Source organism: Homo sapiens, chromosome 7 (genome assembly GCF_000001405.40).
Source record: "Homo sapiens chromosome 7, GRCh38.p14 Primary Assembly".
NCBI lineage: Eukaryota > Metazoa > Chordata > Mammalia > Primates > Hominidae > Homo > Homo sapiens.
In genome coordinates, this window is record NC_000007.14 from 75,477,100 (window position 1) to 75,504,999 (window position 27,900).

The 27,900-nt window shown below is 46.1% G+C and overlaps 2 protein-coding genes across 6 annotated transcripts in view, besides 4 other annotated features; one reads left to right on the forward strand and one right to left on the reverse strand.

Moving 5' to 3' along the window:
* The window catches only part of POM121C (POM121 transmembrane nucleoporin C), a 69,514-nt gene extending 60,314 nt beyond the window's left edge, over positions 1-9,200 (reverse strand). The window contains exons 1-2 of one of the 3 annotated variants that reach the window (NR_160304.1): positions 8,765-9,200; positions 7,099-7,201 (exon numbers count right to left, since the gene is read on the reverse strand). The gene's annotated coding sequence lies outside the window, so the exon portion shown is untranslated. Of the gene's footprint in view, positions 1-7,098; positions 7,221-8,764 lie in introns of all 3 variants that reach the window. The other 2 variants (NR_160303.1, NM_001099415.3) reach the window with 2 other exon arrangements.
* Positions 8,508-8,587: an enhancer, noted in NCBI's record as "active region_26177". NCBI's record gives its function as "activates an Ori minimal core promoter by ATAC-STARR-seq in GM12878 lymphoblastoid cells {active_cell/tissue: GM12878}" and the evidence as "EXISTENCE:reporter gene assay evidence [ECO:0000049][PMID:35858748]".
* Positions 8,868-8,937: a silencer, noted in NCBI's record as "silent region_18295". NCBI's record gives its function as "represses an Ori minimal core promoter by ATAC-STARR-seq in GM12878 lymphoblastoid cells {active_cell/tissue: GM12878}" and the evidence as "EXISTENCE:reporter gene assay evidence [ECO:0000049][PMID:35858748]".
* Positions 8,925-9,424: an enhancer, noted in NCBI's record as "H3K27ac hESC enhancer chr7:75115301-75115800 (GRCh37/hg19 assembly coordinates)". NCBI's record gives its function as "activates a minimal SCP1, AML or CMV promoter by ChIP-STARR-seq in primed H9 embryonic stem cells {active_cell/tissue: H9 hESC(primed)}" and the evidence as "EXISTENCE:reporter gene assay evidence [ECO:0000049][PMID:30033119]".
* Positions 8,958-9,107: a silencer, noted in NCBI's record as "silent region_18296". NCBI's record gives its function as "represses an Ori minimal core promoter by ATAC-STARR-seq in GM12878 lymphoblastoid cells {active_cell/tissue: GM12878}" and the evidence as "EXISTENCE:reporter gene assay evidence [ECO:0000049][PMID:35858748]".
* SPDYE5 (speedy/RINGO cell cycle regulator family member E5) lies at positions 14,531-27,217 on the forward strand. Of its 3 annotated transcripts, NM_001306141.4 has the most exons (9): positions 15,221-15,342; positions 16,528-17,108; positions 18,057-18,275; positions 19,575-19,805; positions 20,839-20,897; positions 22,132-22,217; positions 24,263-24,656; positions 24,779-24,883; positions 25,734-27,217. In NM_001306141.4, the coding sequence occupies exons 2-8, from the start codon at positions 16,949-16,951 to the stop codon at positions 24,836-24,838; spliced, it is 1,209 nt and encodes a 402-aa protein (NP_001293070.1). In that variant the 5' UTR covers positions 15,221-15,342; positions 16,528-16,948; the 3' UTR covers positions 24,839-24,883; positions 25,734-27,217. The 3 variants fall into 3 exon arrangements, with proteins under 3 accessions (XP_047276364.1, XP_047276363.1, NP_001293070.1); XM_047420408.1 differs by having other exon boundaries at positions 14,531-17,108; positions 25,734-25,934; XM_047420407.1 differs by lacking the exons at positions 22,132-22,217; positions 24,779-24,883; positions 25,734-27,217 and having other exon boundaries at positions 14,538-17,108; positions 24,263-24,347.
* Positions 27,218-27,900: the final 683 nt, after the last annotated feature.

Here is a 27,900-nt window from a genome sequence, read left to right on the forward strand (position 1 = left end):
TTTGCGTGTATACACACACACACACACACACACACTCTTATGCCTCAGTCTTCTCGGTCCGAAAGTCAGGATTTTACTTAACAGGGAAAAACTACATATCTTCCCACTAAGATCAAGAACAAGGTATTAATAAAATGCTCATTATCTACAATTAGAGAAGAGAAAACAATTAGAGGAATATAACTAAGAAAAAGTAAAAGTGCTTGGGCACGGTGGCTCACGCCTGTAATCCCAACACTTTAGAAGGCCGAGGCGGGCAGATCACCTGAGGTCAGGAGTTCAAGACCAGCCTGGTCAACATGGTGAAACCCTATCTCTACTAAAAATCCAAAAACAACAACAAAATTAGTTGTAGTATTAAGGTCAACTTAATAATACAGAGATACCAGTTTCCCTAAATTACTTTATAAATATGCAATCCCAATAAAAATACCAAAAAGCTTTTTCCTGGAACTAGATAAGCTGACACTACAGTTCATATGAGGTGGAAGAAAATCAAAAATAGCTCAGGGAAAAAAAAATTTGGACATGGATAAAACTGGACCCAGGCCAGGTGTGGTGGCTCATGCCTGTAATCCCAGCACTCTGGAAAGCTGAGGCAGAAGGATTGCTTGAGGCCAGGAGCTTGAGACCAGCCTTGGCAACATAGCAAGACCCTGTCTCTACAAAGAAAATAATATATATATTAGAAAAAACATATAGACAGAGACATGAGGACTTCTGCCCTCAGGTGTGATAAATTAACAAGTACTGGATATACCCTCCAACCTGAAACAGCACACACCAAAGAACAACAAAATCAAAAACAGAAAGAAAAATAAAACAAGAACATATACGAAAGCAATGATTTGTTTTTTTGTTTTTGTTTTTGTTTTTTGTTTTTTGAGATGAAGTCTCGCTCTTGTCTTCCAGGCTGGGGTGCAATGGCACAATCTTGGCTCACTGCAACCTCTGTCTCCCGGGTTCCAGCAATTCTTCTGCCTCAGCCTCCCGAGTAGCTGGGATTACAGGCGTGCACCAGCATGCCCGGCTAATTTTTATATTTTTAGTAGAGATGGGGTTTCACCATGTTGGCCAGGCTGGTCTTGAACTCCTGACCTCGTGATCCGCCCACCTTAGCCTTGTTGTTGTTGCTGTGATTACAGGTATGAGCCACCACGCCTGGGCTGAAGCAGTGGTTTTCAAGGCACTGATTATCAGGCAGTAGAGTTATCTATGAGTGATGGGAAATAAACAAGGTGAACCAATCAACTTCTGCCTTGAGCGTTTCCAGGCCATGGAGCAGGGAAGAAGAACCGAGGCAGATGTGAGGAGAAAGAGTTGTGGGATGGGAAAATGGGCAGGAAATTACAACCCATAAGGAAGAAAAGAATCAGTCCATCAAAACTGGCCCAGAATTGACACAGAGTTCACAACCGGCACAGAGCACTGAGAGAGTTCATCGTTCTATTCCAAATGTTCAAAAAAATCAAGACAGGCAAGATGTAAAAAAGACCCACGCTAACCTTCTACAGATAGTACAATATCTGAGATGAAAATTATACTGGAAAAGATGAACAGCATCATGGAAAAAAGAGATTAGTGAATATAAAGACAGCAACAGAAGTTACATAAAATGAAACAGAGAAAGAAGAATTAAAAGCAAATAAAGAGCAACAGTGTGTTGTGGGAAAATTTCAAGTGGCCTAATATACAGGCAACAAGAATCAATGGAGGGGAGGTGGCGGGTACTTGAAGAGATAATGATAAAAATGTTCCCCAAGTGATGACACCATAAACCCAAGATCCAAGAAGTTCAATGATCCCCAAAACAGAAACATGAAAAAAATGATACCATGACATATTGCAATCAAATTGTCCAAAACTAGTGATAAAAAGTTTAAAACAATAAGGGGGGAAGAAAAAAAGACATGTTATATATAGGGGAACAAACATGAGTATGAGATCAGATTTCTCTTAGAAAAAAATGTAAGCAGGAAGACAACAGAGAAACATATTTAAAGCACTGTGGAGAAAAATCCAGCAAAAACACCTTTAAAAGCAAAGACACAATGAAGACATTTGCAGACATATAATAATTCATCATCAACTAGAAGAAATGTTACAGAAAGTCCTTCAGGCAGAAGTAAAATGACAGCAAATAAAAATTTAGATTTACACAAAGGAATGAAGAGTACCAGAAATGGTAACTGTGTATTTTCTCTCATTACTTAAATCTCTTTAAAAGATACCTGGGCCAAGTGTGGTGGCTCACACCTGTAATCCCAGCACTTTGGGCGGCTGAGGCAGATGGGTGACCTGAGGTCAGGAGTTCGAGACCAGCCTGGCCAACATGGCGAAACCTCGTCTCTACTAAAAATACAAAAATTAGCCGGGCGTGATGGTGGGTGTCTGTAATCCCAGCTACCCAGGAGGCTGAGGCAGGAGAATCACTTGAACCCAGGAGGCAGAGGTTGCAGTGGGCCAAGATAGCACCCCTGCACTCCAGCCTGGGGGACAGAGTGAGACTCTGTCTCTAAATAAATAAATAAATAAATAAATAAATAAATAAATACAGTTTAATTAACAACAACGTAATAGATAGTGTGTGGCACTGATACCACCTGTAAAAATAAAATGAACAACGGTGTAAAGACCAAGAGGAGAGAAATGGAAGTGTCCTATTGTAAGCTTCTCTTATTCTAGGAAAAATGGATATTACTTAAGAATAAACTATGACAATTAAAGTTGCATACTATAAATTCTAACTCACTAAAATAACAAAACAGTGTGATAGCTAAAAACCCAACAAAAGACATAAAGTAGAATCATAAAAAATTCTCAACTAATCAAAAGGAAGGAAGACAAACAGAGACATTTTAAAAAGAAACAAAGAAGATGAGACTAAAAGAAAGCAAAGACAACGGACTATAACCTAACTCGTTTTATCAATAATCACATTACATGTAAACGGTTTATACATCCCCAATTATGAGACAGAAATAGACTGATGAAAACAAGCAAGATCCAAATTTTGCTGCCTGTAAGAAATAATACTTTAGATATAAAGATGCAAATAGGTTAAAAGTAAAAGGATGGAATAAGATATACCATGCATGTATTACTCAAAAGAATGCTACATAAATAACAAAGTACATTTCACAGCCTGGAATATTAGCAGGGATAAGGAAGGCCATTTTACAAAGTGGTTAATTAATCAACAGGACGTAATAACCTTGAACATTTATGTATCTAATATAACACATAAAGCAAAAAGTGGTAAAATTGCAAAGAGAAACAGAACCACAACTGCAGCAGATTTCAATCCCCTCTCCCCCACAATTGATACAAGTGGGCACACAATCAACAAGGATATAGTACACCTGAACAACACAACCAACCAACTTGATCTCATTAACATTTATCAATCACTCCACCCAACCAGAGCAGAACAAGCCATCTTCTCAGGCATGCACAGAATTTTCCCAAGACAGATCCTGTTCTGAGCCATAAATTTAAGAGGTTCCATGTAGCATTCCAGACAAAAATTCACAGTCTAAATCTAATCATGAAGAAAGATCAGGGAAACCTAAATTTAAAGACTTCTATAAAATCATTGGCCTGTATTCTTCAAATGTTATAATGGCACTGTGGAACAAATCCGTATTAAACAGACTTAAAAAGCATGAAAACTAAAGGCAATTAACAGTCCTAGACTGAATCTTCTACCAAAAATTAAAAATTGCTATAAAGGAAATTATTGGGAAATTGGCAAAACTGGAAAATGAACTATAGTTTAGATAAAAGTATTAAATCAATGATAAATTTCCTGAATTCAATTACTGTGCTATGGATATTTAATATAATATTCTTGATTTTATGAGCTGTAATCTAAAACTTTATAGGGTAAAGAGGCATGACACGTTATACCCACTCTCAAATAGTTCAAAAAATATATATATATATATAAATATATATATATACACATACGTATATAGGCATATAAATGATTAATGTGGGAAAATGTTAAGAATGAAGTATCTGAACAAAAGGAAGTATCTGGGATTTCTTTGTAAAATCCTTGCAATTTTTCTGAAAATCTGAAATGATTTCAAAATAAAATGCTAAATAGAAAATAATGCTATCAAATATATATGTATATATTTGCTATCAAACATATATTATATGTATATATTTGCTATCATATATATCAAATATATTTCAAAAGGACTCAGAAACCAACTTAAAGGGATTCCGTCTGGCCAAAGATGGAACCACTTAATTTTCAAAAAGAATCACAACTTCTATGTACTGAAATATTTACTATCTGTTTAAACCCATGAGCTCATGATGGTAACAAAACAAAATACCCTCCTGCTTAAAAGCCTACTCAATATTTTAGAAACTGTCTTTCCTGCATGAATTACATAAACAAATAGAGAATAGAAATTTATCTTTAGAAAAGTATTCTAGGCCAGCCGTGGTGGCTCATGCCTATAATCCCAACACTGGGAGGTTAAAGAAGAGGATCACTTGAGCCCAGTTCAAGACCAGCCTGGGCAACATAGAGAAACCTGTCTCTACTAAAAATTAAAAAATCAGCTGGGCATTGTGGCATATGACTATACTCCCAGCTACTTGGGAGGCTGAAGTGGGAGGATCACTTGAGCACAGGAGTTTGAGGCTGCAGTGAGCCATAAACGTGCCAGCCTAGGCGACAGAGTGAGACTCTGTCTCCAAAAAAAGAAAAGAAAAGTATTTTGGCTAGTAAATAAAGAAGAAATGGTAGAATTAGCAGATCACCATTTTGCCTCCCCTAATGAAGGCAAATCACAGCAATAGTAAATCACAGCAATAATCAAGTCAATAGTTCTTAACTTCACAAAAACAAAGAAGGTAACACGTGCCTCCAGAAGTAGACAAATGCCACGTATGGTATAGTTGTGTGAAAAGAACTGAACATAAACCTGATTAGACTTCCAGATCAAACTACCAATTTTACCAAGGCATACAAGATATTTTTAAAAAATGTGCTAAAGGTGAAACAAGGGTAACATAATCCAAACTGAGGATAACCAACCCAGTTTCTTCAAAACAATGAGCACGCAGGAGACATACTATGGGAACTATTAAAAGATTTAACCCAACTGCCACATGTATTAAGAAAGACAGTATTATGGGTTATTCCTAGCCCCTTTTAAAAAGATTCCTTATTGGTCAGGTGTGGTGGCTTACACCTGTAATCCTACCACTTTGGGAGGCTAAAGTGAAAGGACTGCTTGAGGCCAGGAGTTTGAGACCAGCCTGAGCAATACAGTGAGAATACATTTCTAGGCCGGGAGCAGTGGCTCACGCCTATAATCCTAGCACTTTGGGACACCGAGGCGGGCAGACTGCCTGAGCTCAGGAGTTCGACATGCATGACACGGTGAAAGCCAGTCTCTACTAAAATACAAAAAAAATTAGCGAGGTGTGGCAGCGTGCACCTGTAGTCCCAGCTAGGCGGGAGGCTGAGGCAAGAGGATCGTGTGGGCCCGGGAGATTGAGGTTGCAGTGAGTTGTGATCACGTCTCTACACTCCAACCTGGGTGACAGAGCAAGACCCTATCTCAAAAAAAGAAAAAAAGAAACAAAACAAAACAGACTTCACCATTTAAAGACAAACAAATACTTACAGATGAATCTTTTTAAAAGCCAAGAAAAGAGAGACTCCATGGAGAAAATATCAGTTTGGAAGTAACGGATGTCAAAGGCAGACAAAGGGTACTGTGAGGAAGGGGCTAGGAAATGCCCACTGGATTTGACTGCAATTAAATCACTGGTCACCTTTACTGACTGACTTAGCAAAGTGAAAAGGACAAAACGAAAACACGGAGAAGTGAAATGAGAAACAGAAATGAGGAAATCTTCACAAGAGAGTAACTGTTTGTATTGTTTGCTGTGCAACCCGAACAAAAAGACGAACAAATATTTGACGGATGATCACGTCATTCATTCCCCCCATGATCTAGGACTCAACAGTAAAAACAGAATTGTTTACTTGGATCACGATATTTCCGTCCCTGGAAAAATTATATGCACCAAGTTCTCCTTGGGCAGCAGGCCCTCTGCTTACATAAGCACCAAGAATAAGCCATAAGTTACAGTAATTTAATGGTTGTTGTTAGGAAAGCTATCCACAATTATATCAACTTGAATGAAGAAATTTTTCCAAGTCCCAGAAAATCTTTTAAGTCCACAAGTAACAAAACTGGTTTCTCCTTATAATCAATGCAAACGATGTCATGGATGGTGATATGGTTTCGGTGTGTGTCGCCTCCCAAATCTCATGTTCAATTGTAATCCCCAATGTTCCCTCTTCCTCCTGCTCTGGTGATGGAAGATGCACCCACTTTCCCTTCACCTTTCACTTGACTGTAAGTTTCCTGAGGACTCCTCAGCCACGCTTCCTATGATAGAGCCTGCAGACGTGAGCCAATTAAACCTCTTTTCTTTATAAATTACCCAGTCTTGGTTATTTCTCTATAGCAGTGTGAGAATGGACTAATACAGATGGCATTTTCCTTTTGTGATGACTGCCAAGAGTATCAGTCCTAGGTGCGGCTCAATTTCAACAGCCTTAAAATATACTACCCATACATACAAGCTTCACAAATCATTTTTGGTGCTGATCTGCCACACTAACTATATTTTACAGGATAATGTCTATTTCCACATTCCCATTTTAAAGTATGAATCCTGGCTGGGCTCGGTGGCTCATGCCTGTAATCCCAGCACTTTGGGAGGCTGAGGCGGGAGGATCACCTGAGGTCAGGAGTTTGAGACCAACCTGGCCAACATAGTGAAACCCCATCTCTTCTAAAAATACAAAAAATTAGCTGGGCATGGTGGCCCACGCCTGTAATCCCTGCTACTCAGGAGGCTGAGGCAGGAGAATCACTTGAACCCAGGAGGTGGAGGTTGCAGTGAAGCGAGATCATGCCACTGCACTGCAGCCTGGGCAACAGAGCAAGACTCCATCTCAAAAAAAAGAAAAAAAAAAGTATGAATCCTTACAAACCTCTTAAAATGCATCATAAAATAAAGTTGAGGAACATATACACAAGCAGGAAAACTCACCTGCAATGTGTTCATTTTCTGCTGCTCTTGGAAACATGCAGAGACTGTGGCTGATAGACCTAGAGGGGCAGAAGCAGGTCACTGAAGTCATGAGGGCTCCGGCCTGCAAAGGCAGAAATCACCTGCATAAGAACCGCAAAAGAAAGCTCAATAGGCTAACACCCTGTGAACACTCAACCTGCAAACACTCAGAAGGGTCTAAAAGAGTGATACAGGGTTTCACCATGTTGGCCAGGCTGGTCTCAAATTCTGGCCTCAAGTGATCCGCCTGCCTGGGCCAACATGGCAAAACCCCGTCTCTACTTAAAAATAACAAAAAAAATTAGCCAGGCATAGAGTCACATGCCTGTAGTCCCAGCTACTCAGGAGGCTGAGGCACGAGAATCCTTTGAACCTGGGAGGTGGAAGTTGCAGTGAGCCGAGACCACGCTGTTGCATTCCAGACTGGGTGAGAGACACTGTCTCAAAAAAAAAAAAAAAAAAAAAAAGAGTGATAGGGGAAGCATGCGCCTGTAACTCTAAGATAATCAGGTAGTAATTAGATGAGTTAGACTCTCATGGGTAACATGACTCCTTTTACAAATAGTCTGCCATCATCATCAAATACAAGGCGCAAAAAGAAAAAAAATTCCCATTATACGGCTCATGTTTTTTGTGGTTTGTTGGTTGAGACAGGGTCTCAATCTGCCACCCAGGCTGGAGTGCAGTGGTGCATTCACGGCTCTCTGCAGCCTCGACCTCCTGGGCTCCATCCATCCTCCCACTTCAGCCTCCTGAGTAGCTGGGACCACAGATGCATCCCAGCATGCCTGGCGACTTTTGTATTTTTTGTAGTCAGGGTGTCCCCATGTTGTCTAGGCTGGTCTCTAACTCCTGGTCTCAAGGGATACTCTTGCCCTAGCCCCGCAAAATGCTCGGATTACAGGTGTGAGCCACTGCATCCCGCCCGCATTTTCTTATTGTCTCTTTAAACTGCTTAAAATAAAATAAGCCATAGGAATTGAGTATGTGAGCTCTCAGAAATGAAATGAATGTGTATAAAATATGGTTTTGTTTCTAAATTATCTAACTGAACTTGGTTATTGCTGCACCTAATAATCTTCTATTAAGAAAACTAGGATACGGGAGAAAGAACACTGGCCTGGGAGATAAGTCTCCTGGGTTCTACTATGAGCAGCTCTACCCACAAAGCCGGTGACCTGGTCAAGTCACCCACCTAAGGCCCAGTCTCTTCCCCTAGCAACTGAGGCAGCAGCAGAGAATCCCTGCAGACTGTTCCTGCATTACTACGATTCTCCCAGGGCAGGTCTAAGGGGGGGGATCAGCAGACACTTAAGTGAGAGAATAGAAGTGCTGACGGACGTTTAGAGGCGGTCGAAATCTGGAGCACGGAGAGGAGGAGGAAGGACTGTTAGGGGTTAGCGGGGAGTGGAGACGACGTCCGCAGCTGAGGGTGGTGACACCCTCCACGCCTCCGTAAGCCTCGTCCTCCCAGATCTTCCCATGCAGCACCTGTTCGGTGCAGCCGGACCCTGCCCTCAAACCCAACACATGTCTCTCCGGCAAGCAATCGGGACCCTCCCTCTGCCCCACACTCAAAGGTCCCCAACACAAGGTGACTTCACCCAGGCCCTTCTCGCTCCGGGCCCAAAAACCCAAGACTTACCCTCCTGGGGCTCCGCAGCCTCTGCCCCACGGCTCCCGAGAGGCCGGGGCGGGCTGCTGTCGCTGGCGCGCGCGTCTGCTCGCGAGGTCCCCTCCTGTCCACCTCACCAAGGCTGTTCTGCTCCCGAGGGGCCCGGGCCGGGCCTACGGGGCAAATCCAGGCGGGTGTCCTTCTCGGGGCCCAGATCCGCCTCCCTGGGGCTCCCGGCCCCTCTGGCCCCAGCGCCGCCGGCTCCGGGGTTCACGCTCGGGGGTCCCAGCTCGAGCCTCTACCCGGCCCGCGCGAACCCTGGGCCGCACAGCTCCCGCCCGCCTAGGTGCTGGTCCGGGCGGTCAGCATCCAGCCCCGCAGACTCGGTGATTCTCGTCCACTAGAAGCCAAAGCCTGGGAACGAGAGCAAGCGATGACCTGAAGAGGCACAGGAAGCGAGGGCAGTGCGGAGGTGGCGCGCATGTGCGAACACGCACGCAGGGAGAGGTGCACAAGCGCAGGAGTGCACCGGAAGTCCGCCTCCCGGGACACCCACCGCGGGTCCCAGGACAAGTAACGGACTCTATTTCCCAGGAGCCTACGCGCTCCCCCAGTTTTGGGGCCGTCTTAAATGTCTCTACCCTGCCTAAAGGTTAAGAAGCTCCAGGCTATGAGCTTTGGCAGCCCTGAACCCCGGACTGAACTTCACCTTTGTCTTTACTCCCTTTTAGGGTCAAATCCAGGGCTCCGTTACTGGGTCCTGGAGCCCAAGTCCTCTGGGTTAGAACGGAGTTTCCCATAAGGAGAAGGAAAGGAAAGGGTGTATCATGGTCACTGCTCTGAAATGCTGAGAAGTTTCACTCAAATACTGGGACAGGATAAATGCCCAGCGATGCTTTCCAAGGAACAAAAAGAAAATAGAATTTGTAGCTGGGCGCAGTGGCTCAAGCCTGTAATCCCAGCACTTTGGGAGGCCGAGGCGGGCAGATCGCGAGGTCAAGAGATAGAGATCATCCTGGCCAACATGATGAAACCCTGTCTCTACTAAAAATACAAAAATTAGCTGGGCGTGGTGGCGCGTGCCTGTAATCCCAGCTACTCGGGAGGCTAAGGCAGGAGAATCACTTGAACCTGGGAGGTGGAGGTTGCAGTGAGCCGAGATCACGCCACTGCACTCCATCCTGGCGACAAAGCGAGACTCCATAGCTTTTCTAGATCACACAGCGAATGCCTAAAAACCGTAGAGAAATAAGGACATACACACACAAACTGAACGAGGAAGAGATACCTGTGATCCTACCTTCCCCAGGAGGATTATGTTTAGGGTTAGGTTATGTTGACCAAAAAGAGTCAAAGTCTATAAAGAGTTTTATTCTGGGCCTCCTATTTGAGTGACCATGGCTGGTGACACAGCCTCAGGGGGTCCTGAGAACGTGAGCCCAAAGTAGTTGGGTTACAGCTTGGTTTTATGCATCTTAGGGAGACAGTAGTTACAGGCAAAGACATAAATCAATACATGGGAAGTATATGTTGGGTCAGCCAGGAAAGGCTTTCAGGTCACTAGTAGATTGAAAGACTGGCAGTTGGTTCAGAGTTAAGTGTTGGCTGAACAGCTGGAAGACTACATAAAGAAATGGGCCATTGCGGTGGCTCATGCCTGTATTCCCAGCATTTTGGGAGGGTGAGCTGGGAGGATCCCTTGAGGCCAGGAGTTCAAGGACAGCCTGGGCAACACAGCGAGACCCCCACTTCTACAAAAAAAAAAATAATTATCCAGGTGTGGTGGTGCATGCCTGTAGACTCAGCTACTCAGGAGGCTGAGATGGGAGGATCGCTTGAGCCTGGGAAGTTGAGGCTACAGTGAGCCATGATGGCACCACTGCATTCCAGCTTGGGCAACAGAGAAGAAAAGAAAGAGAGAGAGAGAAAAAGAGAGAGAGGAAGGAAGGAAAAAGAGGGAGGGAAAAAAAAGAAGGAAAAGTTTGAGTTAAGATAAGGGGGATTGTGGAAACCAAGGTTCTTGTTATGTAGGTGAAGCCTCAGAACAGGCTTCAGAGAGAATAGATGATAAATATCTCTTATTGGATCTTAAAAGGTGTCAGACTCTCCAGAAAAGACCTGGAGTCTTTTCTGTAAGGCAAAGAGATTCTCTACAGAATGCAAATTTCCCCCAAAGAGATGGCTTTGCAGGACTATTTTAAAGTTTGTCAAAGAAAATATGTTATGGGGTAAAATACTGTGATTTACTTCAGGGACTGCTATCTGTCATGTGATGCTATATCAGAGTCTGGTTGGAGATGGGTATCTTACTGATAAAAAGAGCCTGTTTTGTCAGTCCTATGATGTCTATTCTAATAGAGATCATAATGTTGGTCAGCTGTGCCTAAACTCTGACGGGAGGAGAATTATGACAAGGCATATCCAACCCCCTCCTTCCCATCATGACCTAAATTAGTTTTCCATGTTTATTTTGGATCCTGTTGGCCAACAGGGGAGTCCACTGAGTCAGTTGTGGGGGCTTAGAATTTTATTTTTGGTTTACAATTAAAATGTCAATTTTCAAAAATGGGATCATAAAGACAATGATTCATCACAATTTTTTGGTGAAATCTAACAGTGTTCTTGCCCAGTTGTTTCATAAAAACTGGTAAGGAAAAGACTAAAAATAAATTCTTCTGAAGCCAGGTGCAGTGGCTCACGCCTGTAATCCCAGCACTTTGGGAGGCCGAGGCCGGCGGATCATGAGGTCAGGAAATCAAGACCATCCTGGCCAACATGGTGAAACCCCGTCTCTACTAAAACACAAAAAATTAGCCGGGTGCGGTGGTGCGTGCCTGTAGTCCCAGATACTTGGGAGGCTGAGGCAGGGGAATCACTTGAACCTGGGAGGCAGAGATTGCAGTGAGCCGAGATCAGGCCACTGCACTCCAGCCTGGGAGACAGAGCAAGACTCCATCTCAAGATAAATAAGTAAATAAATAGATTATTCTGTTAACCTAGAATATTCTCTCCACAAATTCAGAAAATAAAGAAAACAATTTTATTATTGAATAAGCATTAAACCAGACTGTGATGCCCATCACAGGTGATCCATTAATGAGATGCAAAGAGAAATAAACCCTCCTTTTTTTTTTTTTTTTTTTTTTTTGAGACAAAATCTTGTTCTGTCGCCCAGGCTGGAGTGCAGTGGTGCGATCTCGACTCACTGCAACCTCTGCCTCCCCAGTTTAAGGGATTCTCCTGCCTCAGCCTCCCAAGTAACTGAGACTACAGGCGCGAGCCACCACACCTGGCTAATTTTTTGTATTTTTAGTAGAGATGGGGTTTCGTTATGTTAGCTAGGATGGTCTCGAAATCCTGACCTCGTAATTCGCCCGCCTAGGCCTCCCAAAGTGCTGGGATTATAGGCGTGAGCTATGGCGCCCGGCCAAAGCGTCCTTTTTATATAGCCTGGCAGATACAATCCATTGCATACACGCTCTCAAGATAAATAGTAACTCATCCTCATGCAAAAGGACTTGCTATGCAGTTTTTTTTGTTTTGTTTTTTTTGAGACAGGGTCTCATTCTGTCATCCAGGCTGGAGTGTAGTGGTGTGATCTTCTTGGCTCACTGTAACCTCCACCTCCTGGGTTCAAGTGATTCTCGTGCCTAAGCCTCCCAAGTAGCTGGAATTACAGACATGTGCCATCATGCCCAGCTAATATTTGTATTTTAGTAGAGACAGAGTTTCGCCATACTGGCCAGGCTGGACTCAAACTCCTTCTTTCGATTTCTGTGTGGCTTCAAGTGATCCGCCCGTCTCGGCCTCCCCCAGAGTGCTGGGATTACAGGTGTGAGCCACCGCGCCTGGCCTGCTATACATTCTTAAACACTCATCCTAAATTCACCTGGAAATCAACGTGGCCATCCATGCTAGTTAATTACCTGTATTCAATGAAAAAATAAAACTTCTCACATCTCCTTGACAAGCAGGTAGTAACAGCTCAAGTTGCCTAGGCTAAACTCCCTAGGCAACAGGAAGATAGGGACACTATTTTCCTCCAGGTTTACATTTCAAAGACAAGACTCTTAGGCTCTTAAGAAAAAAATTCCTGGATTGTGACCAGGCACGGTGGCTCACGCCCATAATCCCACACATTGGGAGGCCGTGGCTGGTGGATCACCTGAGGTCAGGAGTTCAAGACCAGCCAGACCAACAAGGTGAAACCCTGTCTCTACTAAAAATACAAAAATTAGCCAGGCGTGGTGGCAGACGCCTGTAGTCTCAGCTACTCAGGAGGTTGAGATGGGAGAATTGCTTGAACCCGGGAAGTGGAGGTTGCAGTGAGCCGAGATTATACCCCTGCACTCCAGCCTGGGTGACAGCGAGATTCTGTCTCCAAAAAAAAAAAAAAAAAAAAATTCCTGGGTTGTAATGTCGGCAAGAAGTTCATTTACCTTTTTAAAAGATTTAGGTACATATCAAAGGCACAAAAGAAGTTATTTATATTACAAGGTTTATCAAGGAAATACTCTTTAAAAAGGAGAGGAGATAAGGTTAATTTCCCTTTTGGCAAGTAAGACAAATGTAATCTTTTTTTTTTTTTTTTTAGAAAATCCATACAGTGAGGGCTGGGCACGGTGGCCCACATCTGTAGTCCCAGCACTTTGGGAGGCCAAGGCAGGTGGATTTGAGGCCAGGAGTTCGAGACCAGCCTGGGCAACATGGCGAAACCCCATCTCTACCACAAATACGAAAATTAGCTGGGTGTGGTGGTGTGTGCCTATTGTCCCAGCTACTCTGGAGGCGGAGGCACGAGAAGTGCTTGAACATGGGAGGCAGAGGTTGCAGTGAGCCGAGATTGAGCCATTACAATCCAGTCTGGGCAACAAGAGTGAAGCTCTGTCTCAAAAAATAAAAAAATAAAAAATAAAAAACAAAAACAAAGAGCCTCTTTTCCCTCTCCCTGCCACAGAGTTGTCTTCAGTAATTTCATTCCCTTTTTTCCTGAGGGTTCACTGGGTTTCTGGGTCCCAGAAGGGGAAGTTCTCTTCAAGGTACAGAAACCACAACTCCACAGAGAACCGCAGAGACGGCAGCATGACCAGACCCTGGCCAGGTTTGGGGAGGCTGCTGGGCTGAGACTTGGGCTGAACTTCCGCTGCAGGTCGACTTATTCCCATCAGCACCAAAGCTGCTGGAGGGGGTCATCCAAAAGCAAAGGAAGCAGGGGTGCAGCTTGGAGGCTGTTTCAGAAGGTCCCACTGAGCCAAGGACTCAAGGCCTGGCCACAGCCCTCCCAAGCGAGGCCCAGATCATATTTCACCATGCTCAGAAAACCTTGTCTACTCATTTCAGTCCACAGTGATTTTGCTTTCTTTAGGATCTCTCTTGAACTGTCCAACCCAGAGAGTTTCAAATCGGAATGGATTCCAATGATGGAGCTAAATCAGGCCCCACCTCAGTTTTTGAATTACAATCAATAGGGCTGGGTCCCAGCAACTGTATCTTAATGTTCCTCCATGTGATCCTCATGCTGAAAGGCTGGTATTTGCAAATCCCTTTTTTTGGGGAGTGGTTTTTTTTTTAGAGAGAGGCCTCACTCTGATGCCCAGCCTGGAATGCAGTGGTGGATCACAGCTCACTGCAGCCTTGAACCCCTGGCCGCAAGAAATCCTCCCACCTTAGCCAACCAAAGTGTTGGGATTGCAGGAGTGGCCACTGTGTCTGGCCAGGAAAGCCCTTCTGTTTCACTTGAATGATATTTCTGCAGCATACCTACAGCCATTGTTGTATTCAACTGCATCACTGCGGAGAAAAAAAAGGTGAGAGGTGACTGTTTTGCTTTTTTCTGAACATATCAGACCAAACCTGGGCTGTTTAGCCATTTTTTTTTTTTTTTTTTTTTTTTTTTTGCGATGGTGTCTCGCTCTGTCACCCAGGCTGGAGTGCAGTGATGCAATCTCGGCTCACTGCAACCTCTGCCTTCCAGGTTCAAGCGATTCTCCTGCCTCGGCCTCCTAAGTAGCTGGGATTACAGATGTGCACCCCCACGCCCAGCTCATTTTTTCTGTATTTTTAGTAGAGACGGATTTAAACATGTTGGACAGGCTGGTCTCGAACTTCTGACCTCTGGTGATCTGTCTGCCTCTGCTTCTTAAAGTGGTAGGATTACAGGCATGAGCCACCGCGCCTGGTTTGCCAATTTTTTGACAACATATCAACATCATTTACGATGGGCATGGCCTCAGTGTAGTGTGTCTAGACAAGGTGGCCGGAAGAGAGAGGAATATGCAAACCAGGCTTGAAGATGGGTTAAATCAGAGATTTTCATTCCACAAAAGAGAAATTTTAATGGGGTCAGAACATTGATCTTCTAATATTTGAAAGCCTGTTAACTAGGAGAGAGAGAGCAAACGATTTTGTTGTAGAAGGACCCACCCAGCTCTGACGGTTTAAAGCATCATGAATGCGAATTTGAACTCCAGAAAAGCAGAGCTTCCTAACAATGGGACTTCCACAGCAATGGGATCTGCTTCCTCTTTCAGTGTGTGCCTTTTCTATGAGCGAGAGACTCCTAGGAAAGCAGCAGCCCATTAGGAAAACGTGTGGGAACTCACTCGCAGGTTCTTTATTTTTTTTGAGATGGAGTTTTGCTCGTTGCCCAGACTGGAGCACAATGGTGCGATCTTGGCTCCCTGCAACCTGCGCACCATGAGTTCAAGTGATTCTCCAGCTCCCTCTCCTGAGTAGCTGCGATTACAGGCATCCACCACCATGCCTGGCTAATTTTTTGTATTTTTAGTAGAGATGGGGTTTCACCATGTTGTCCAAGCTGGTCTCAAACTCCTGACGTCAAGTGATCCACCCACTTTGGCCTCCCAAAGTGCTGGGATTACAGGCATGAGCCACTGAGCCCAGCCGGGAACCCACAGGTTTTTTGGATGGTCTCTGAATGTCATGTAACTCTTTTATTTTTTATCAAAAAAAATTTTTTTGACACAATATCTTGCTGTGTTGCCCAGACGGGAGTGCAGTGGCAAGATCATGGCTCACTGCAGCTTCTAACTCCTGGGCTCAAGTGATCTTCCTGTCACGAGTCTCCCAAGTAGTTGGAACACAGGTGCCAGCCACCACACCTGGCTAATTTGGTTTGGTTTTGTTTTTTTAGAGATGGGCTCTTACTATGTTGCCTATACTGGTCTTGAACTGCTGGCCTCAGGCAATCTTCCTCCCTTGGCCACCCAAAGTGCTGGGATTACAAGCATGAGCCACTGTGCACAGCTGAAATTTTCGACTTAGTCTTTTTGTACATGTGATATTTTATTCATAGAATCCATAAATGGAAGGGAAATTTCTGAGTTCAGAGCAATACATATGATACAAAACTTGATATATAGACTAGAGTTTCTTAGCCGAACTGGAGGGGCTGGCTTAGGTAATCCATGGATTCCCTGAAATTGGGGACACCATTGGAAATATGTGTGAGCTCAGGGGCAGTTTCCTATGATTTTTAGGCCTCAAAATGTCTCTTGGACTCAAAATTGCCTTAGGGCAGAGGACGTGTGTACCCCCAGTATAGAATCTCGGACAGTGAATGTGAGTAAACATTCGGCAGAAAAGCTCTGCCAAACTGAGTGCTCTGATGTGACTTTTTCATCAAGTCAGTATTCCTGGGATCTCTTGTACATGATAATCTCACTCTTGTACATGATAATCTCACTCTTGTACATGATAATCTCACTCTTATAAGGTTTCATCGTTTCTGCTTACCCTAGTTTTCTTTCCCACTCTGTTCCCTCTCCCACCAGACTGGACTCTGAAATGGGCATGTACAGAGACAAAGAGACCCCAACATGCTTCAGGCTTTGAGTGGAGAGGACACAGCCTCTGCTGGGACAGGGAACAGAGGGATGTGGAGTCCCTGAAGATGCTTTTGGACAATGGTCTGAGGTTGGGACAGTGGCAGGAGATACCATTCACCCAGGATCTCCAGGACAAGAGATCAGCCTGGCAGTTACATGTGTTTTTTTTCAAACTGGTTGCCAGGTTGGCATGAGCGATGACATCAGAGATTCCGACCATCCTGATTGGAGGGACCGGACTCCGTGGTGCCTGGAGATCAGTTGGACAACAGTATCTTCTCAGAGCTGTTCTCCACTCCTGACTTCTCCTAGGCTTGAGAATTGATAACATACTCTTCTGGATCCTAGCAGTGATCAGAAGAAGGCCATGGACAGAACGGAGACTAGGTTCCGTAAGAGGGGACAGATTACGGAAAAGATCACGACCAGCCGTCAACCGCAACCCCAGAATGAGCAGAGTCCCCAGCGGAGCACCTCGGGGTACCCCCTCCAGGAGGTGGTGGATGATGAAGTGTTGGGACCATCAGGTGAGGGGACTGGTGGAAGAAGAGGTGGGATAGGATTGACTAAGACGAAGGAAGGGGGCCAGGTGCGGTGGCTCACGCCTGTAACCCCAGCACTTTGGGAGGCCGAGGCGGGCGGATCACCTGAGGTCAGGAGTTCAAGGCCAGCCTGGCCAATATGGTGAAACCCTATCTCTACTAAAAGTATAAAAATTAGCCAAGTGGTAGTGGTGCACACCTGTAATCCCAGCTACTCAGGAGGCTGAGACAGGCGAATCACTTGAGACTGGGAGGAAGAGGTTGCAGTGAGCTGAGATCACGCTACTGCACTCCAAAAAAAAAAAAAAAAGAAAAGAAAAGAAGGGTCAGCGGTCAGGAAGGAGAACCTGAGGAGGGTGTGTGGGAAGAATGGAGAAATTCAGGCTGGGTGTGGTGGCTTACACCTGTAACCCCAGAACTTTGGGAGGCCAAGGCAGGCGGATCACTTGAGGCCAGGAGTTTGAGACCAGCCTGGCCAACATGGTGAAACCCTGTCTCTACTAAAAGTACAAAATGGAGCTGGGCATTATGGCAGGCACCTGTAATCCCAGCTACCTGAGAGGCTGAGGCAGAAGAATAAATGGAATCCAGGAGATGGATGTTGCAGTGAGCTGAGATTGCACCACTACACTCCAGCCTGGGTGACAAAGCAAGATTCTGTGTCAAAACAAAACAAAACAAAAAAGGAGGGACTCAGAGAGCCAGAGACCAGGGAAGGACATGAAGCAGTGTTCGGAGGACAGAGAGAGAGAAGAATGGGGAGGGGAAGGAGCGGCACATGGGGTTGAGCAGAGGAGAAAATCAGAAAGATGGCTTAGAGAAGCCAGCAGTCTGCGAGTCTGGGGAGGATGGAGAGTGGTTTGGGGTTTTGGGTCGGGGTCTAAGGTGATCAGATGCAGAAGCATTACACGGTGGCCTGGTTTCTTTACTCAGCCCCTGGGGTAGATCCCAGCCCCCCATGTAGGTCCCTTGGCTGGAAAAGGAAGAGGGAGTGGTCAGATGAATCTGCGGAGGAGCCGGAGAAGGAGCTCGCCCCTGAACCTGAGGAGACCTGGGTAGTGGAGATGCTGTGTGGGCTCAAGATGAAGCTGAAGCAACAGCGAGTGTCACCCATCCTCCCTGAGCACCACAAGGGCTTCAACAGTCAGCTTGGTAGGAGGACACCCCAGAGAGCACCTCCAATCCTGTTCTTTCTAAAAAGAGGAAACTTCCAATAACCACACTTTTCCAATGGGAAAGATACGCCCCCCGTGGGTGAGCTCTCCACGCAGGAGGACTCAGAAGTGATCACTCATGAGGGACACTTAGGAGACGATAGAGGACTAGGCTAGACTTGATAAAGGTTGGCGCTTGGGATGAGAAAGCTTGGTTTCGGGCCAGGTGCAGTGGCTCACGCCTGAGATCCTAGCACGTTGGGAGGCTGAGGCAAGAGGATTGCTTGAACTCAGGACTTTGAGGCTGCAGTGAGCTATGACTGCACCACTGCACTCCAGCCTGGGTGACACAGCAAAACCCTGTGTCAAAAGAAAAACGAAGGCCGGGTGTGGTAGCTCATGCCTGTAATCCCATTACTTTGGGAGGCTAAGATGGGTGGATCACTTGAGGTCAGTTGTTCGAGACCAACCAGACCAATATAGCGAAACCTCATTTATACTAACAATACAAAAATTAGCCAGGCATGCCTGTTATCCCAGCTACTCGGGAGGCTGAGACAGGATAATTGCTTGAACCCAGGTGGAAGAGGTTGCTTTGAGCCAAGATAGCGCCACTGCATTTTTTTGAGACGCTGTGTCAAAAAAAAAAAAAAAAAAAGAAGGAAGGAAGGGCCCAGAAGTCAGGAAGGAGCACGTGAGGAGGGTGTGTGGGAAGAATGGAGGTACTGAGGCAGGGTGCACTGGCTCACACCTGTAATCCCAGCACTTTGGGAGGCCAGGCAGGCAGATCACTTGAGGCCAGGAGTTGGAGACCAGCCTGGCCAACATGGTGAAACCCTGTCTCTTCTAGAAGCACAAAAATGAGCTGGGCGTTCTGGTGGGCACCTGTAATCCCAGCTACTTGGGAGGCTTAGGCAGGAGAATCACTGGAACCCAGGAGGCGGAGGTTGCAGTGAGCCAAGATCGCACCACTACACTCCAGCCTAGGCCACAAAGCAAGACTGTTTCTCAACAACAACAACAACAACAAAAAAAAAAAAAAAAAAAAGGGACTCAGAGAGCCAGGGACCAGGGAAGGATATGAGGAAGTGTTCTGAGGACAGAGAAACGGGAGAATGGGGAGGAGAAGGAGCAGCACATGGAGCTCAGCAGAGGAGACAGACAGAAGGAAAGATGGCTTGGAGAAGCCAGCAGTCTGCGAGGCTGGGGAGGATGGAGAGTGGTTTGGGGTTTTGGGTTGGGCTCTAGTGTGATCAACTGCAGAAGCATTACACCATGGCCTGGTTTCTTTACTCAGCCCCTGGGGTAGATCCCAGCCCCCCGCATAGGTCCTTTTGCTGGAAAAGGAAGATGGAGTGGTGGGACGAATCTGAGGAGTCGTTGGAGGAGGAGCCACGGAAGGTGCTCGCCCCTGAGCCTGAGGAGATCTGGGTGGCGGAGATGCTGTGTGGCCTCAAGATGAAGCTGAAGCGACGGCGAGTGTCGCTCGTGCTCCCTGAGCACCACGAGGCCTTCAACAGGCTGCTTGGTAGGAGGACACCCCAGAGAGCACCTCCAATCCTGTTCTTTCCAAAAACAGGAAACTTCCAATAACCACACTTTTCCAATGGGAAAAATATGCCCCAGTGGGTGAGCTCTCCATGTGGGAGGAATGTGAAGTGATCACTCATGAGGGACACTTAGGAGATGATAAAGGATTAGGTCAACTTGATAAAGGTCAGCGCTTGGGATAAGAAAGCTTGGTTTCGGGCCAGGTGCAGTGGCTCCTGCCTGAGATCCCAGCATGTTGGGAGGCTGAGGCAAGAGGATTGCTTGAACTCAGGACTTTGAGGCTGCAGTGAGCTATGACTACACCACTGCACTCCAGCCTGGGTGACAGAGCAAAACACTGTCTCAAAAGAAAAACCAAGGCTGGGCACAGTAGCTCATGCATGTAATCCCAGCTACTCGGGAGGCTGAGACAGGAGAATCGCTTAAACCCGGGAGGCAGAGGTTGCAGCGAGCCAAGATCAGGCCACTGCATTCCAGCCTGGCCCACAGAGCAAGACTCTGTCTCAAAATAAATTAATAAATAAATAAAAATAAAAATCAAATAAAGAAAAACAAAATCAATAAACAAAGAAAGTGGTTTCAGCTGTGCCCTCTGAAACTTAATGTCTCTTACTGACTTTTCTAAACCTAAGTGTTTCCATCCATAGTGAGGGATACCAAGGCCATGGTCACACCCTGATGTGACTGTCTCATGAGGAAATGATGGGAATTCCTTTATGACTCTGCAGTGGTCCCTCCGTGTCTGCTGGAGGGGGTCCTGGTTGATTCCCAGCTCTACATCCTGTAGATTCTCACACCCAGGGCCTCCTTCGGCCTCTTCTCAGGGGAGTCTCAGAGCAGGAGCCTCTCTCCCTTGCCCAGTGAAAGTCATTCTCCCCTCTCCCATCCACCTCACCCGCGGCCACAATCCTGAGACTTCCCCCCGGGAGGCACACTTCTCCTCGCTGCCCTGCTGCTCCCACGGAAACCCTGTCCTGCTTCTCACACTGACATCTGCTCTCTAATCACAGAGGATCCTGTCATTAAAAGATTCCTGGCCTGGGACAAAGATCTGAGGGTGTCGGACAAGGTAAGGTTGTTCTCCATGTAACTGTTCCTGTTCCAACGCATGGCTCGGGGGAGGGCGCAGCTTCCAAACCCACAGTTCTCCCTCCACCACCTCCCACCAGATGCTCCTACAGTCTTTTTTTTTTTTTTTTTTTTTTTTTTTTTTGTGAGACAGAATCTTGCTCTGTTGCCCATGCTGGAGGGCAGTGTCTCAATCTTGACTCACTGCAGCCGATGCCTCCCGGGTTCAAGCGATTCTTCTGCCTCAGCCTCCAAGCAGCTGGGATTACAGACATGAACCACCACGCCTGGCTAATTTTTGTGTTTTTAGTAGAAACGGGGTTTTGCCATGTTGGCCAGGTTGGTCCTGAACACCTGACCTCAGGCGATCCACCTGCCTTGGCCTCCCAAAGTGCTGAGATTATAGACGTCAGCCACTGTGCCCGACCAGCTCCCATGGTCTTGAGTCTTGGCACCCACAAATTTTTTTTTTGTGAGACAGAGTCTAGCTCTGCTCCCCAGGATGGAGTGCAGTGGCATGATCATAGCTCATTGCAGCCTCTAATTCCTGGGCTCAAGCAATCTTCTTTCCTCAGCCTCCTGAGGAGCTGGGACTAGGCACATGCCACCATGCTCAACTAATTTTTGAAATGTTTGTAGAAACAGGGTCTCACTATGTTGCCCAGGTTGTTCTAGAACTGTTGGGCTCACATGATCCTCCTGTCTCCACCTCTCAAAAAGTACTGGGATCACAGGCTTGAGCCGCCACTCCCGGCTATTCTTGGTCTTTTTATGATTTGTCAGCATCTCCCTCAGGATTCTGCTGGTCTCTTGCAGAGTGAATGAGTGGCCCCTGCCTCTCCTATGGGTCCTTTGGGATCTGAGCTCTGGGCCACAGTCTGGCCGCAGCCCTGAAGCTCCTGGCCCCTCTACTCTCAGCTCTTCAGGACAGTTCTCTGCCTGGCACACAAAAGACCCTCCTTACACCAGCCGACCTAGACACACCCCCTCCAAAGATCCCATCGGAGCCCACCATCCTGGGAGCATCACCCAAAACCCTTCCTCTGGCTTCTCGGATTTGCATCCGACCTTCGAATACCCCTCCATCCCGCAATTTCCAAATGAGTACAGTCACCCCAACACTGAGGTCCCTTCTCTGATGGGCAGCCCCTCCCCAGACCCTCATTCCCCCTCTCCACAATCTTCCTCTTCCAAGATGTGACCTCTCCCTCTCTGTGTTCCTTTCTCTCCATCAGTATCTCCTGGCTATGGTCATAGCGTATTTCAGCCGGGCCGGCTTCCCCTCCTGGCAATACCAACGCATTCATTTCTTCCTGGCTCTGTGAGTGGTTTGCTGCCTCCTATCCATCAATATCCAATGCCCTGGGACAGCGGGGGAAGTGGGATTCCAGCCTTTCATTTATTCTTTCACCTATTTGTCCTCTTTACTCTGTGTACAAAAAAGAGAGGATTATACTATCATAGACTGTTGTTTCTAAACAGAAACTCAGGCTGGGCACAGTGGCATACGCCTGTAATCCCAGCACTTTGGGAGGCCGAGGCAGGCGGATCACCTGAGGTCAGCAGTTCGAGACCAGCCTGGCCAACATGGCCAAACCCCGTCTCTACGAAAAATAGAAAAATTAGCTGGGCGTGGTGGTGTGCATCTGTAATCCCAGCTACTCGAGAGGCTGAGGCAAGAGAACCCTTTGAACCCAGGAGGTGGAGGTTGCAGTAAGCTAAGGTCGAGCCACCGCACTCCAGCCTGGGTGACAGAGTGAGACTTTTTCTCAAAAAAAAAAAAAAAAAAAAAAAAAAAGCCAAAAAAACAAACTCCAATGCCAGTGTACAAATAAAAGAATAAAACAAAAGGAACCATAAACCGCTCCTAAGGGGAAAAGAAAAGGAGTGGAGGAGCGGACATGCCGCTTCCTCCAGCAAGCAGACGTTTCTGGTTCTTCTCTCTCTCTCCTTCCCACATCAACCACAAACGCCATCGACCTCCTCTGGGTTCCCATGACAGAGGCCACAGTTCAGGTCCCCCTCGCATCACTCGAATCCACTGTCAAATGCTCCCTGCTGGGGTCTCCTGGAGTCTCTCCCCAAGCCAGGGGGCTTCCTAGTGCAGCCTGAACATCTTTCCAAAGCACGACAACCTCACTGCCCACCTGAACAACTTCCTTAGCTGATGCCTTTCTCTATCGAGGCCAGGGTCCACAGTGTCAATTCTACAATCTCTACAAGCACACTGGCTCGCCATCTTGGTATTTCCTGGCTCGGCTTCACTGCTTCTTCCAAATGCCCTCCACTCGACTTTGTGTTTGTGTTTTCTGTCTGGGTGTCCCGCACACATGTGGCTCTGAAGGGAAGGACCCATTCCTTGAAGTCAGTTCACCCCACAGCCTCTGTGATGCCTTCCCTCATCTTCCAACTTCTGCATGCCCGTAGCTCTCTAGTTACATCCTGGACACTGGGATTAGGTCATCTGCCTTGATTACTCCCAGTCCCATTAGACTAGATGCCTGTAGAAGGCAGGGTCCTGGCAAAATATCAATGTATTCAATTTCTTTTATTTTTTTGAGACAGACTTCCCCTGTCCCCCAAGCTGGAGTGCAGTGGTGAGATCATAGCTCATCGCAGCCTCCATATCCTGGGCTCAAGCGATCCTCCCACCTCAGCTTCTTTATTAGCTCCGACTACAGGGCTGTGCCACCACACCTGGACTGTTTGTTTGTTTGTTTGTTTGATTATTGAGATAGAGTCTTGCTCTGCCTCTCAGGCTGGAATGGAGTGGCCCAATCTCAACTCACTGCAACCTCCGCCTCCTGGGTTCACACAATTCTTATGCTTCAGCCTCCTGAGTAGCTAGGCCTAACGGGTGTGCCACCGCACCAGGCTGATTTTTGTATTTTTAGTAGAGATGGGGTTTCTCCGTGTTGACCAGGCTGGTCTCCAACTCCTGGTCTCAAGCGATCCACCTGCTTCATTCTTCTAAAGTGCTGGGATTACAGGCATGAGCCACCGCGTCTGGCATATTTCTTATATTTTTAATAGAGACGAGGGTCTTGCTATGTTGCCCAGGCCCGTCTCAAACTCCTGGCCTCAAGTGATCCTCCTGCTTTGGCCTCCCAGTGTGCTGGGATTCCAGGCATAAGCCACCACTCTCGGCCACCAGTTGGGTTTTTGTCTCCATCCTGAAGGAGTGGGAGACGCCCTTGATCAGGTCTCTGTCCAGCAGAGCCCTCCTGAGGAAGGCGTGGCTCTCTGCAGGGTGGGTGCCAGTCCTGAGCTAGGGACGGTCCCTTACCTTCCTCTCTGGGAAGCTGACCTCAGCCGGAGGCCTCTCTTGGTGGTGCCCCTGAGCAGCAACCTGATTTCTGTCCTCAGCTACCTGGCCAATGACATGGAGGAGGACGACGAGGACTCCAAACAAAACATCTTCCACTTCCTGTATGGGAAGAACCGCTCTCGCATACCCTTGCTCCGTAAGCGTTGGTTCCAGTTAGGCCGTTCCATGAACCCGAGGGCCAGGAAGAAGCGCTCTCGCATACCCTTGCTCCGTAAGCGTCGGTTCCAGTTAGGCCGTTCCATGAACCCGAGGGCCAGGAAGAACCGCTCTCGCATACCCTTGCTCCGTAAGCGTCGGTTCCAGTTAGGCCGTTCCATGAACCTGAGGGCCAGGAAGAACCGCTCTCAGATAGTCCTGTTCCAGAAACGTCGGTTCCAGTTCTTCTGTTCCATGAGCGGCAGGGCTTGGGTTTCCCCGGAGGAGTTGGAGGAGGTAGGTGGGGCCTGGGGAGGTGGAGGAGGTGGGGAGGAATCGGGTGGGCTGGAGGCTGGATGAGGGGAGAGAGGGGTATCCTGGCGAGTCCCCGTCTTCTCAAAGGGCGTTTGTTTTTCCAGATCCAGGCTTATGACCCAGAGCACTGGGTGTGGGCGCGAGATCGCGCTCACCTTTCCTAGAGCTCCAGGGACCGTGGAGGCCTGAGGTCATCGGCCTGAGAGAAGGTACATCTGCATCCTCCGGGGTAAAGGCAGAATATTGGGGTCTATTTCGGAAATCCGAAGAACCCAATTGCTTGATCCGGCTTCAAGCCTGGGCAACGTGGCGAGATCCCCTCTCCACAAAAATACAAAAATTAGCCAGGCGATGTGGGAGGCATCTCTACTCCCAACTACTCAGGAGGCTGAGGCGGGAGGATCGCTGGAGCCTGGAAGGTCGGGGCTGCACGGAGCCCTGATCCTGCCACTGCACTCCAGCCCGGGCGACAGAGTGAGACCCTGCCTCAAAAATAATCATAAATACTGAGTTGGGGGAGGTTCATTATGATTGATGCACTTGAGTTACCGATTTGGGTCGAGGGTTCAGTGAAGCTTTGGTTTACATCTTGTGCAGCTAACCACGGTGAGCACAGAGCATAAGACTTCATCATGAGGAGGTAGGATTAAGGATTAGGCTTCTGGACTCGTGGTTCGTGATGTTGTCACATTAGAAACACATCTAGCATGGTTACAAGTCTGGATCTTAAGAGACACAAAAGGCCCCAGCTGTGATGAAGTCCAAAGCCACATTCTCTGAGGGTGCCCTACTCCCTGGGCAGACCCACCCAAAGTCCTTGCTATGAAGCAGATCACTGGGGCTGACCTTGGGTGTATTAAGTGAGTTTTGGAGTCGTCACCAAAGTGTGAGTTTCACAGTTGAACACCAAGGTTCAGAAGCAGGGTATAGAATGAAAGGCAGCAGATAAAATTGCATTTCTCAATTGCTCTGAACTCTAGACTTGACATGGGACGTGAATAACCTTCCTGTCTAGAGAGCTGCCTCCTTGAAGTGTGACATTGTCTCTCTCACTTCCAGAACACCGGACCCAGGGGAGATGTGGATTTTCAGCAGGAACTTTATTCCAATGCTAATGGCAGACACCAGGAAGGAGGAGAGGAACCATTTGTGCAGATCATCTAGAAGAACCTGGACCATTCTTGATGGAGCTGAATACAGTGATCACGTTGTCCTCCTAGGAGCAGGGGTGGGGGGAGGGGGGTGGGGTCCTTCTAGGAGTCCTTGGAGAAAAGTAAGAAACCAGGAGTGTTTCCAGTTCCACCCTTTCCTGCAGCACCACCACCCTTTCTATATTGCTGAATTCCAACCTCCCTGGGGCGGAACCTGGAGGTCCTGTTTCTTATGGACTTGGTTACCACAGTCCAGAAGCATTTGAAGGCACAATGCAGGGGCTCAGATTGGCACAGATTTCTTCTGTGAAATATCAGTGCCACAGATTGTAACAGATAGCTTCATGCACACTCTGCATTTTATTGGTTTGTTTGGAAAATGTTGGCCATTGAATTATTCATAGATTTATTTCAAATAGTTTGGAAATTGTTGTACTTTTGAAAACATGCTGTTCCTGTAGTTTTTTGATGAGAGTTATAGTTGTTATATATACATAAAGATAATTTTCTTTTCATTTTTAAGAGACAATTCTTTTTATCCTAAATATTTTATTATCTTTAAATTTCTTTCTGTATTATTATATGTGCTCCTGAAGCGAGCACTCTTTTTATCTATGATACTTCCATAATAATCTCTTCTATTTATAGCTATTGGTAGTTCCCCACCACAAAAAAAACATAATTCTGGTGATAGAAATTTTTATTTGCTGTTTAGGTTTGTGACTGAATTGTGAGAATTCAGTTGTGATTTTTAACATGTCTCAGATATATATACTAACACGTCTAATATATACTATCTATTTTATTGGTTTATTTTGAAAAACATGGGTATAGAATTATTTAAATATTATTTTATTTATTGAAATATTTATTAAATATATTTATTTAAATATTATTACTTGAAATATTATTTTAAATATTTTTGAAATACTGCTATTTTTGAATAGATGCTGTTTCTATAAAGCTGTGTGATGGGTGTTATAACTGTTATATACACATACGTATAATTTTGCTTTCCTTTTTAAGAGAGGATTCTTTTCATCCTAAATCTTTTACCTTTCAATCTTTGTATCTATTATTACACGTGTTGCTGAAGGGAGCATGGTTTTTATCTGTGATACTTAGTTAACATATATATTACATTTATAGCTATGTAGTAGTTCCCCTAAATTCTTGTAAAAATAAATTTTTATTTGATATTTCATATATGTTTGAAATGTGAGAATTCAGGTGTAATTTTTTACCTTGTTTTGGCATGTTTGTATGTTACTTTAAAGAGGATGTGTGTTCTAAAGGAGGACATGAGCTGTGTGTTTTCAAGAGAACAATAGAGTGCGTCTCTTGGGGAAACATAATAAAAATGAACTTTTCTCACCTTCACAGCAATTGTGATCATATTGGTCTGGATTGATTATTTGCTGCCCAGTGATATTTTTCCTTAATGGGGTTGTGGTTATTTGAACATATTTATTAGCTCTGGAAGATAATCCTGTGCTGTTTTTTATGTAGAAAAAAACATAAGGCTGGGTGCAGTGCTCACACCTACAATCCCTGCAGTTTTGGAGGTCATGGCAGGAGGATCACCTGAGGCCAGGAGTTTGAGGCCAGCCTCAGCAACATAGCATCTACATCTATTTTTAATTTTTATTTTTTAAAGAAAAACAATAGAAGAGAAGGCTGATCCCAAGCTACAGGGTTTTTTTGTTTGTTTGTTTGTTTTGGAGACAGAGTCTTGCTCTGTCTCCCAGGCTGGAGTGCAGTGGCACAACCTCGGCTCCCTGCAACTTTCACCTCTGGGTTCAAACAAATTCTCCTGCCTCAGCCTCCCAAGTAGCTGGGACTACAGGCACCCGTCTGTACGTCCGACTAACTTTTGTAAAAATAGTAGAGACAAGGTTTCACCATGTTGGCCAGGCTGGTCTCGAACTCCTGACTTCAAGTGATCCACCCACCTCGGCCTCCCAAAGTGCTGGGATTACAGGCATGAGCTACTGCGCCCAGATGCCAAGCTAGAGTTTTAAGGCAGGAAATGAGAGAAAAATATTGAGAGAGGAAAACCAGGTGGTAAGAAAACT

What these genes read in the sequence shown, in the direction of transcription:
- SPDYE5 (XM_047420408.1), top strand. Translation starts at nt 16,949, where the DNA reads ATGGACAGAACGGAGACTAGGTTCCGTAAGAGGGGACAGATTACGGAA. An exon ending in GGGCTTCAACAGTCAGCTTG is followed by an intron (nt 18,276 to 19,574) that starts GTAGGAGGACAC and finishes TTCTTTACTCAG; the next exon opens with CCCCTGGGGTAGATCCCAGC. An exon ending in ATTCATTTCTTCCTGGCTCT is followed by an intron (nt 22,218 to 24,262) that starts GTGAGTGGTTTG and finishes TTCTGTCCTCAG; the next exon opens with CTACCTGGCCAATGACATGG.